This window comes from Homo sapiens, chromosome 19 (genome assembly GCF_000001405.40).
Source record: "Homo sapiens chromosome 19, GRCh38.p14 Primary Assembly".
In the NCBI taxonomy this organism is placed as follows: Eukaryota; Metazoa; Chordata; class Mammalia; order Primates; family Hominidae; genus Homo; species Homo sapiens.
Window position 1 is genome coordinate 44,403,154 of NC_000019.10, and position 12,735 is coordinate 44,415,888.

The 12,735-nt window shown below is 43.8% G+C and overlaps 1 annotated feature.

Annotated features, from left to right (window-relative positions):
- Positions 12,533-12,735: a silencer, noted in NCBI's record as "peak3499 fragment used in MPRA reporter construct". NCBI's record gives its function as "represses an SCP1 promoter by STARR-seq MPRAs in K562 erythroleukemia cells {active_cell/tissue: K562}" and the evidence as "EXISTENCE:reporter gene assay evidence [ECO:0000049][PMID:32103011]".

Below are 12,735 nucleotides of genomic sequence, written 5' to 3' on the forward strand. Positions count from 1 at the left end.
AGGTGGAGGTTGCAATGAGCCGAGATCATGCCACTGCACTCCAGCCTGGGCGACAGAGCAAGACTCTGTCACCAAAAAAAAAGAAAAAAGAAAAAAGTGAAAGAAAAAAAAGCCTATAATGGTAAATTTGTCATTTTCCTCTCTATAGCATTTGCTTTATTTATTTATTTATTTATTTATTTATTTATTTCCTTTATTTTTTTTTTGAGACTGAGTCTCGCTCTGTTGCCCAGGCTGGAGTGCAGTGGCGCCATCTCAACTCACTGCAAGCTCTGCCTCCCAGGTTCACACCATTCTCCTGCTTCAGCCTCCCGAGTAGCTGGGACTACAGGTGCCCGCCACCAGGCCCAGCTAATTTTTTTGTATTTTTAGTAGAGACAGGGTTTCACCGTGTTAGCCAGGATGGTCTCCATCTCCTGACCTTGTGATCTGCCCACCTCGGCCTCCCAAAGTGCTGGGATTACAGGCGTGAGCCACCATGCCCAGCCTGCTTCATTTTTCAAAAGTCAAGTTACTAGGTATACAAATGGCTTTACTTTTTAAAAGTTGTGTTGTTAGGTATGGAAGTGTTGTATTCCTTATCTGAAATACTTGGGACCAGAAGTGTTTCAGATATTTTATTTTTTTCAGATTTTGCAATATTTGCATATACGTAATGAGATATCTTGAGGATGAGACCCAAGTCTAAATGCAAAATTCATTTGTGTTCCATATAAACCTTATACATGTAGCCTGAAATTAATTTTATAGAATTATTTTGAATAATTTTGTTCACAAGGTTTGTATACAATGTTTGTGTGCATTGAACCATCAGAAGCAAAGATTGCCTTCGTCAGATGACCAAAGAAAAATCAATGAAAAGAACAGAAAGAAAGCAAATACTTCAGGTGTGGAATTTTCCACTTGTGGTGTCATGTTCACATTCCAAAAGTTTTAGATTGTGAAACATTTTGGATTTTAAAATTTAGTGATGCTGACCCTGTGTAAGTTTCATAATGTTCATATCTTCTTGATGGGCCAAAAATTTCGTTAACAATTTTAAGTATTTTGTATTTTCACCTTGAGTTTACTTTTCAGTGAAGACTGTACCTGCTTTCTTTTCATTAGATTTCATCTAGTATTTATTCTTTCATTTTGTCTTAAAATTAGTATATTTCTTTACCTTATTATTTATATACTCTTTATTATTATAGTTATTTTTAAATGTTACTTTTACCTAATCTAAGAGCTTGGCTTTAGTCTGAAAATCCACACTTAAATGGGTGTGTTAAGAACAAAAGAGAAAGCTCTTGTATAATTGATCTAGGAGCTGCTCATACTTCCCAACTGTAGAACAGTGAATCTGGCCTGTAATCCTAGTTGCTCAAGCAGCTGAGGTGGGAGGATGGCTTGAGCCTGGAAGGTTCAGGGTGTAGTGAGCTATGATGGTGCTACTGTACTCCAGCTTGGGTGACAGCATGAGATCTTATGTCTGAAAAAATAGAACAGTGACCCTCAAACAGGAATGAAATAGCCTCCCTAAGACTTTTTTGAATTGTGTGAGTGATCTTTGCTTGCTCCAGTGACTGGGGTATGTGTTTAGTATGCAGAGGTAAGGAATGCTAAACATATTGCACTTGTAAATTAATTCTCTCAACAAAGAAGTCATCCATTCAAATACCCAACAGTAACCCCTTGAAAATCACTGCTCTAAAGGAAAGAAAATGAACAACAATAACCTCAATCAAATAAAAGGAGGGAAAGAAACAATCAAATCAGTAAAGAGAAAGTCAAACTGCTGCTGTTTGCTGATGATATGATCATATACCTAGAAAACCCTAAAGACTCCTTCAAAAAGCTTCTAGAACTCATAAATGAATTCAGCAAAGTTTCAGGATACAAAATTAATGTACACAAATCATAGCTCTGTTGTACACCAAAAGCAACCAAGCTAAGAATGAAATCAAGAACTCAACCCCTTTTACAACAGCTGCAACAAAAAATACATAGGAATATTTCTAACCAAGGAGGTGAAAGACCTCTCTACAAGGAAAACTACAAAACACTGTTGAAAGAAACCATAGATGACACAAACAAATGGAAACACATCCCATGTTTATGAATGGGTAAATCAATATTGTAAAAATGACCATACTGCCAAAAGCTGTTTACAAATTCAATGCAAGTTCCATCAAAATACCACCATCATTCTTTCCAGAACTAGAAAAGACAATTCTAAAATTCATATGGAACCAAAGAAGAGCCCGCAGAGCCAAAGCAAGACTAAGTAAAAAGAACAAGTCTGGAGGCATCACATTACCTGACTTCAAACTATACTATAAGGTTGTAGCCACCCAAACAGCATGGTACTGGTATAAAAATAGGTACAAAGACCAATGGAACAGAATAGAGAACCCAGAAATAAATCCAAATACTTACAGCCAACTGATATTTGAAAAAACAAACAAAAACATAAAGTGAGGAAAAGACCTCCTATTCAGGCTGGGCGCGGTGGCTCACGCCTGTAATCCCAGCACTTTGGGAGGCCGAGGCGGGTGGATCACAAGATCAGGAGATCGAGACCATCCTGGTTAAGGCGGAGAAACCCCGTCTCCACTAAAAATACAAAAAATTAGCCTGGCGCTGTGGCGGGGGCCTGTAGTCCCGGCTACTCAGGAGGCTGAGGCAGGAGAATGGTGTGAACCTGGGAGGCGGAGCCTGCAGTGAGCCGAGATCGCACCACTGCCCTCCAGCCTGGGTGACCCAGCGAGACTCTGTCTCAAAAAAAAAAAACAAAAAAAACAAAACAACAACAACAACAACAAAAACCGTATTCAACAAATGGTGCTGGGATAATTGGCAAGCCACATGTAGAAGAATGTGACTGGATCCTCATCTCTCACCTTATGCAAAAGTCAACTCAAGATGGATCAAAAACTTAAAACTTGAAACCATAAAAATTCCAGAAAATAACATCAGAAAAACCCTTCAAAACATTAGCTTAGGCAAAGACTTGATGACCAAGAACCCAAAAGCAAATTCAACAGAAAAAATGATAAATAGGTGGGACTTAATTTAACTAAAAATTTTCTGCACAGCAAAAGAAACACTGAGCAGAATAAACAGACAACCCACAAAGGGGAGAAAATCTTCACAATCCATACATCTGAAAAAGGATGAATATTCAGAATCTTCAAGGAACTCAAACAAATTAGCAAGAAAAATACAAAGAATCCCATCAAAAAATGGGCTAAGGACATGAATAGACAATCCTTAAAAGAAGATATACAAATAGCCAACAAACATATGAAAAAATGCTCAACATCACGAATGATCAGGGAAGTGCAAATCAGAAACACAATGCAATACCACCTTACAGCTGCAAGAATGGCCATAATAAAAGATTTAAAAAATAATAGATGTTGGTGGGGCTGTGGTGAAAAGGGAACACTTTTACACTGCTGGTGGGAATGTAAACTAGTGCAACCACTATGGAAAACAGTGTGGCAATTCCTTAAAGAACTAAAAGTAGAACTACCATTTGATTCAACAATTCCACTACTGGGTATCTACCCAGAGGAAAAGAAGTCATTATATGAAAAAGATAGTTGCACACACGTTTATAGCAACATAATAAGATGTTTTATAAATATAAGTGATGAAATCCCTCTATTGAAAGTTTATTAGAGTTCATCAGCATTGATATCATCTCTCAAAATTAAAAAAAAAGTTTTCTTTTGTTGTTTGTTTTGGTTTTTGTTTGTTTGTTTTGATGCATGGTCTTGCTCTATTGCATATATATATATATGTATATATGAATGCTATTCCACAATAAAGAGGAACAAATTAATGCCATTCATAGCAACTTGGATGGAATTGGAGACCATTATTCTTAGTGAAATAACTCAGGAATAGAAAACCAAATATTGTTTGTTCTCACTCATAAGTGGGAGTTAAGCTATGAGGATGCAAAGGCATAAGAATGATACAATGGACTTCAGGGATGGAGGGGAGGGAAGGATGGGAGAGGGGTGAAGGAAGAAAGACTACAAATTGGGTACAGTGTATACTGCTCAGGTGATGGGTGCACCAAAATCTCACACATCACCGCTAAAGAATTTATTCGTGTAACCAAATGCAACCTGTTTCTCAAAATCCTATTAAAATAAAAATAAATCAAAAAATTAAAAGCCATTGCAAATAAAGACAAAATCAGATGTTTTATAAATATAAGTGATAAAATTTCTCTATTAAAAGTTTATAGAGTTCATCAGTGTTGATATTATCTTTCCAAATTAAAAAATGTTTTGTTTGTTGTTTGTTTTGGTTTTTGTTTGTTTGTATTGATGCATGGTCTTGCTCTGTTGCTTACTGCAGCCTCAACTTCCTAGGCATGAGTAATCCTCCCACCTCAGTGTCCCAAGTAAGTGGAACTACAGGTGTGCACCATCATGCCTAACTGATTTTTAAAAATTTTCTTATAGAGATAGAGTCTCACTGTGTTGCCTAGGCTGGTCTGAAACATGTGTGTTCAAACAATCCTCCCAGCTTGGACAGAAAAAATGTTGGAATTACAGGCACAAGCCATCATGTCTGGACAGAATTTTTTTTTTTTTTTTTTTTTTTGAGACGGAGCCTCTTGCTCTTTTGCCCAGGCTGGAGTGCAATGGCGCGATCTTGGCTCACTGCAAGCTCTGCCTCCCGGGTTCACGCCATTCTCCTGCCTCAGCCTCCCCAGTAGCTGGGACTACAGGTGCCCACCTCCACGCCCGGCTAATTTTTTTGTATTTTTAGTAGAGACGGGTTTTCACCATGTTAGCCAGGATGGTCTCAATCTCCCAACCTCGTGATCCAACCGCCTTGGCCTCCCAAAGTGCTGGGATTACAGGCGTGAGCCACTGCGCGCGGTGTAAAAATTTTTTTAATTAAAAATTAAATAATTAAAAAGTGGATGAAAGACATAACAAGGCACTGAAATGAAAAATGACGAAAAGGCATCAACTATGACCACCTTGTTATCACAAAAATGAAAACCAACATCATTTTTACATATCAAGTTCACAAAGATTAAACATAAATCCCTTGATCCTCAATAGTGTGAAAAAATGGACACGTTTACATTTTAGGCTGACAGAAAAAAACAAAAACAGTTTTTCCTCCGCTCTCACATCACAACAATCAACACAGAAGATTTCTGTGACGATATGTCTAGGGATTTCTCTCGGTCAGTCAAGCACACAATCCATTCTGCTGTGGAGAGCAGCTGGGTGTCTTCTAATTCATTTATGACACTATCTAACTGGACATAGCATTAGATTCCACAGGGCTCAGTTCCGCAAGACTGGCCTCCCACTCTAATAACAATGGCAAGCCATACGTTGTTTTACCTATGCTTTCATCAACTAGCTATAAATCAGGTTTCCACCGCTCCCTATTTTAGTTGCATTACTTTCCTCGAACAGCTCACAGCACGCAGGGAAACACTGACATTTACAACTTTACCATAGCGGATATTGCAAAAAATCCAGAAAAAAAGATTCATGGGTCCTGGCAGGGGGAAGGGGCGCACTACTTTCCAGGAAGTTTTACCCAGAAGCTCTCTAAACCCAGTCCTTTTGAGTTTCTATGAAGGCTTCACTCTATAGGCATGATAGGTTAAGCCATACGCTATTGGTGATCAACTCAACCTTCAGGCACTCAACCCTCCTGGAAAATGGGGTTCAGGCACTGCCATTCTCAGTCTGAATAATAGAATTTACATAAACAGAATTTTACAACAGATTAGCATAACTGAAAACTGAATTAGATGATTGAATTATCTGGAGCCACACCTTGATATTCCTAATCCAATCACCCTCATCCAATGAATGCTCCACCCAACTGGCCCCGAAGTATCTAGATGGTTCCAGAGCAGAAGAATGTTTATACAACGGATATCTCCCCTTTTTCTCAAAAGTCGTTTCGCTTACACGGGTAATTCTTAAACTGCCATGCATCAGAGTCAGGGGGAGGGCTTGTTACAACACAGATCTGTGGATCTCCGGGGTTTGAGGGTTGCAAGGATGCTGCTGGTGTCAAAACCACAATGTGAGAACCACAGAACCACTAGATGGTTTTCAGTGTTTCAGTGCATTTAATTCATAATATATTTCACCAAGAAAACTTGTAAGTTCTTAGATTGTCCCAAATGTGGCGCATGAAATCAAATCAGGAGAACAGTTTCCTACGCGGTGTAACCTGGGAAAGTTGGGGGTGACTGATGGAAAGGAGGAGTGAAGCTCCGCCCTTTCCGCTGCCAGGCTGCGCCCGCCCGAGGCTATTTAAACCCACCCTGGCGGGCCTGTACTCAGATCTTCACAGAGCGGAGCAGCGGCCGGAGCGTTTTGCGGGCTCTGCGTGGACTTGGAGCTTACAGCGTCTTGCGACTTGGAAGCAGATTCAGAGGACAGGACAGAACACTTGGGTAAGTGAATCTCTGTCTGTCTGTCTGTCTGTCTGTCTCATTGGTTGGTTTATTTCCATTTTCTTAAGGAGCACATACCTCACATCACACACACACACACACACACACACACACACACACACACACACACTCCTTCTTTCTGCGGGTTAGAAAACTGGTAGGCTTCTCTGGGAGCTACAGGTTTCCTAATCATGTCTGCACCTAAGAACAGTAGGGTCTTGTCTGGCTCTTCTTATGAACCGTCCCCCAGCCCGGACTCCCCAAGATCCATGCTAGCCTCACCCAGCTTCTCCCTCTCCCCTCTCAGAAACTCAGACTTAAGAGGAAGCTCCTCACCAGGGATCCGGAGCTACCGTTCACCCTCCCCTAGGGCTTCACCACACTCACCTCTGTCATCACCAGAATCCCACAAGCTCCCATTTCCCTTTCCTCAACCGTGATGGGCAATCAATGAAGCCATTGGGTTCTCCCGCGTCCTCCTCTGGGGATTCTTTAGAATCACCACGTTCATCAATAATATAACACATGTTCTTACTGCCATCACCCAGCAGCTCACCCCCGGCTCTCTGGGAATCTCCTGTGCCTCCCAGCCACTCTCCGAACAACCCCGGATTTCAGCTGGAGTCAGCCCCCCACACCCAGGAATCACCTACAAACTCACGAGCCTCACGGTGCTCCTCCCCTGTGTCTTTCATCTCTTCACCCCCAGGCCTCAGGGACTCTCCTGTGCCTACCAGTTACTCTCCAGCCATCCCCAGGTTTCTGCGGGAGTCAGCCTCATGCACCCAGGAGTCCCCCAGAGACTCACACGTCTCGGGAGATTATGAGCGGTCCCCCAGCCCTGACTCCTCAAGATTCATGCCTGCCTCACCCAGCTTCTCCCTCTCCCCTCCCAGAAACTCAGACCCAAGGGGCAGCTCCTCGCCAGGGATGTGGAAGTACTCTACATCATCCCGCAGGGCTTCACCACTCTCACATCCATCATCAACAGAATTTCACAACTTTACATTTCCCTTTCCTGACCAAGCAGGACAATCACTGATGTCATTGTGCTCTCCCGGACAATCACTGATGTCATTGTGCTCTCCCGTGTCCTCCTCTGGAGATTCTTCACAGTCACCTCATTCATCAATAATATACCATATGTTCTTACTGCCATCATCCAGCAGCTCACCCCCAGCCATCAATGACTCTCCTGTCTGTCCCAGCTACTCTCCAACTACGCCCAGATTTCAGCGGGAGTCGGTCTCCCACTCCCCAGAAACACCTACAAACTCACAGACCTCAGTGAGATCCTCGCCAGTCTCTCTCATGTCTTCACCCCCAGCCCTTACGGACCCTCCTGTCTGTCCCAGCTACTCTCCAACCACGCCCACATTTCAGCGGGGGTCATTTTCAGGAACCCAGGGATCACTACCAAGCTCACCACTTTCACTGAGTTACTCCCCAGTCTCTAGCAGGTCTTTATCCCCAAGCCTCAGGGACTCTCCTGTCCGTCCCAGCTACTCTCCAACCACGCCCAGATTGCAGCTGGAGTCAGTTCCAGGCACCCTGGAATCACCACCAAACTCACCAATTTCACTCAATTACTCCCCAGTCTCTCTCATGTCTTCACCAGCCCTCAGGGACTCTCCTCTGTGTCCCAGCTACTCTCATACCACGCCCACATTTCAGCAGGAGTCACTTCCAGGCACCCAGAAATCACCACCAAACTCACCAATTTCACTCACTTACTCTCCAGTCTCTCTCATGTCTTCACCAGCCCTCAGGGACTCTCCTGTCTGTCCCGGCTACTCTCCAACCACGCCCAGATTGCAGCTGGAGTCAGTTCCAGGCACCCCGGAATCACCACCAAACTCACCAGTTTCACTGAGTTACTCCCCGGTCTCTCTCATGTCTTCACCCCCAGCCCTCAGGGACTCTCCTGTGTGTCCCAGCTACTCTCCAACCACGCCCAGATTTCAGCGGGAGTCAGTTGCAGGCACCCAGGAATCACCTACAAACTCACCAGTTTCACTGAGTTACTCCCCAGTCTCTCTCAAGTCTTCACCGCCAGCCTCCTGGGACTCTCCTGTCTGTCCCACCTACTCTCCCGCCACGCCCAGATTTCAGCGGGAGTCAGCCTCCTACACTCAGGAATCACCTACAGACTCACAGACCTCACTGAGATCCTCCCTGGTCTCTCTCAGCTCTTTGCCCTCAGCCCACAGGGACTGTTGTGTCTCTTTCAGCTACTCTCAAAACTTCTCTAGATTCCCGCTGGAGTCAGTTCCAGGCACCCAGGACACACCAGCAAACTCACCAATTTCACTCAGTTACTCCCCAGTCTCGCTCATGTTTTCACCCCCAGCCCTCAGGGACTGTTCTGTCTCTCTCAGTTACTCTCCAACCATCTCCAGATTTCAGCTGGAGTCAGCTTCCCACACCCAGGAATCACCTACAAACTCACGGACCTTACTGCCACCCTCCCCCATTTCTTTCACCTCTTCACCCCCAGCCTTCAGGGACTCTCCTGTGTCTCCCAGCTTCTCTCTGGCCTTCCCCAGATTTCTGCCGCGGTCAGCCCCAGGCACCCAGGAGAACCCTAGACACTCACAGGCCTCACGAGACTATTTCCCTGTGACCTGTATCTATACAGGGGTGGCTCCCACGTATCCCTCAGTGACCCCAAACCCATCTCCACTTACACTCAGACACTCCCAGGGCCTGACAGCTACTCCCCGTTATTGTCCTTCAGTTGGAAGCCCTGGCCAATCTACTAGCCAACATGACGCAGTTACCTGGCCATTTCTCCACATTCCTGGTGAGCGCCCCACACCCAGCCGCAGAAAAGCCCCTCCTGCATTCCGTCCTCACACACAGGCCTGTCCATCTACTTGCTACTGTCACACTCTTGCCAGCAGAAGAGGCCCCTCTAATGGCCGATATCACCGCCCAGGCTATCCTCACCCCACAGCTGTGCAGCGGGACCCTCCTGCTGGCCCACGTGGCTGCCAGAGCCCATGCTGACACCAACCTCCAGCATGTCGGCATCCCTGCGGGCGACACTACCGGTGACATGGCCAGCATGACCCTCCTCCCTGGCAGTGACACTGTTGATGTGAGCCCCAGTTTCAGATCTGTCATTTGTAAATAGGACCATTTTCCCTTTTCTCTCTCGCTTCCATTCACAGGGCTTTTCATTCTCTCTGTTTCTGCCTCCGTTTCAGATATTTACTCACCTTTTTCTCTTTCACTATGTCTGCCGTGGTCTCGACGAGAGTGCGCCACATAAGATTCCCCCATTAAAAGTCATGAATTGAGTGGCTTTTAGTATACTTGTGGTTGTGCACGTTCAATTTTAATTCGCAATCCATTTGAGAACATTTTATCACCCCCGACCAGAGAAAAACCCTCTAAACGTCAGTCACTCCTCATTCTGTCTCAAACTCTCTCCCTGACCCTCAACCCTAGGTAACAACTACATAGAGCGCTCAACCCTATCTCCTTAGATTTCCATATTGTGGACATTTCCTATCAACAGAATTATAACATATGTGAACTTTTATGACCGACTTTACACTTAGCACAATATTTTCAAGGTTCATCCACATTGTAGCATTACCCACAGTGGGAAACCATTTTTTTTTTTTTTGGTTTTAGTAACACCAGGTGTTTTCTCCTTCCTTCTTTCCTTCCTTCCTTCCTTCCTTCCTTCCTTCCTTCCTTCCTCCCTTCCTCCTATTTCTCTCTTACTCCTTCTGCCCTCTCTCTTTCACATGCCTTCGGTGCATCCTACTTTCTGTGTGTTTTTGGGAAATCCTCGACAGTTGCAGGAAAATTGTGTTATTGTTATTATTTACCGGTATCTCTCTTTCATGGTTCTCCATCAGTTGTAAACATCTACTGGTTTCTCCCAAGTCACTAAGTATATTTTAATGAGGTACACCTGTTTTTCTTTATACAGCTATTTCTGGAGTGTAGGGTCACATACTGATAAACCCAATGTGACCCAAAAACGCATCTAATACCCCAATAAACCCATCATAAAGTTGAAAAATCATAAATCAAACCATCATAAGTCACGGTTTGTCCGTGGATATGGGCTTCATCAATTCCATTGTATTCAATAATGCTCTGCACGATTAACAATGGCAGACTGATAGGGAGTGGATACTGATAGCATTTTAAAAATCAGTTATTAGAGGGATACTTTAACCTGACTGAATAACTGATCTAATTGTATTAGTACGGTGAATAATTATGTGAAATGTTTTGAGACAGTGTAGTACATTTGTGAATGAAATTTTGTGGCTTTTTTCCACTTAGTAGGAACCTTTGTGTGTAGAAAACTGAGAAGATTGCTTTCTGCTGTAGAGTCTGGCATTCGTTGTAGATTAAAGCTTATTTTTCTGCGAATAAGCCATAGTCAATAAAATACTATTCTTTAAAAAAATAAAAAACACTGGTGATGTGAAGTCATTATCCTCAGCAAACTAATCCATGAACAGAAAACCAAAACCACATTTTCACCTATAATGGGAGCTGAAAAATGAGAACACATGGACACAGGAAGGGGAACAACACACACTGGGGCCTTTCGGGAAGCAGAGCGTTAAGAAAAACAGCTAATGCATGCTGGGCTTAATCCCTAGGTGATGGGTCGACAGGTGCAGCAAACCACCATGGCACACGTTTACCTTTGTAACAAATCTGCACATCCTGCACATATACCCCAGAACTTAGAAACAAAACGAAACAAATCAAAAGGAAAAAACAATAACAAAACGCTAGTGGCAAAATAAAGTTTCAAACTGAGAAAGCGATAGAGCAATTTTTGGTTGAAATCATGGTTCTCAACCCAGGTGCCATAAGGTCAGGATAAAGAATTTGATTACGTATTGTAAATAAGACATACAGCAAATGACTAGAAAAATTATTCTCAACATATATGTGCCTTCTAATTCAATGATGACGCTATCTACCGGGACATAGCATTAGATTCCAAAGGGCTCAGTCCCGCAAGACTGGCCTCCCTCTCTAATAACAATGGGAAGCCCTATGTTGTTTTACCTGTGCTTCTTAGCAACTGGCTATAAATCAGGTTTCCACCACTCCCTGTTGTAATTGCATTAATTTGCTGGAAGAGCTCACAGCACGCAGGGAAATACTTCCATTTACCATTTTATGATAGCGGATATTGCAAAAAATTTAGAAAACAGATTATGGGCCTGGCATGTGGGGAGGGGCGCACTGCCTTCCAGGAAGTGTTATCCACAAGCTCTCTAAACCCAGTCCTTTTGGGTTTTTACGGAGACCTCATTCTATAGGCATGATGGGTTAAACCATAGGCGATTGGTGATCAGCTCAACCTGAGGCTCTCAACCCTCCCTGGAAATTGGGGTTGAGGCATTGCCATTCTCAGTCTGAGTAGAAGAATTTACACAAACGGAATTTTAAGACAGATTAGCAAAACTGAAAACTGAATTAGATGATTGAATTATCTGGAGCCACATCTTGATATTCCTAACCCGAGCACCCTCATCCAACGAATGCTCCACCCAACTGGCTCCTAAGTCTCCACGTGGTTCCAGAGCAAAAGAATGTTCCTACAACGCATATCTCCCCTTTTTCTTCAAAGTCTTTTCGCTTACACGGGTAATTCTTAAACTGCCATGCATCAGGGTCAGGGGGAGGGCTTGTTACAACACAGATCTGTGGATCTCCGGGGTTTGAGGGTTGCAAGGATGCTGCTGGTGTCAAAACCACAATGTGAGAACCACAGAACCACTAGATGGTTTTCAGTGTTTCAGTGCATTTAATTCATAATATATTTGGCCAAAAAAACTCGTAAGTTCTTAGATTGTCCCAAATGTGGCGCATGAAATCAAATCAGGAGAACAGTTTCCTACTCGGTGTAACCTGGGAAAGTTGGGGGTGACTGATGGAAAGGAGGAGTGAAGCTCCGCCCTTTCCGCTGCCAGGCTGCGCCCGCCCGAGGCTATTTAAACTCACCCTGGCGGGCCTGTACTCAGATCTTCACAGAGCGGAGCAGCGGCCGGAGCGTTTTGCGGGCTCTGCGTGGACTTGGAGCTTACAGCGTCTTGCGACTTGGAAGCGGATTCAGAGGACAGGACAGAACACTTGGGTAAGTGAATCTCTGTCTGTCTGTCTCATTGGTTGGTTTATTTCCATTTTCTTAAGGAACCCATACCTCACACCACACACAAACACACACACACACACACACACAAACACACACCCACTCCTTCTTTCTGCAAGTTAGAAAATTGGTAGGCGTCCCTGGGAGCTAC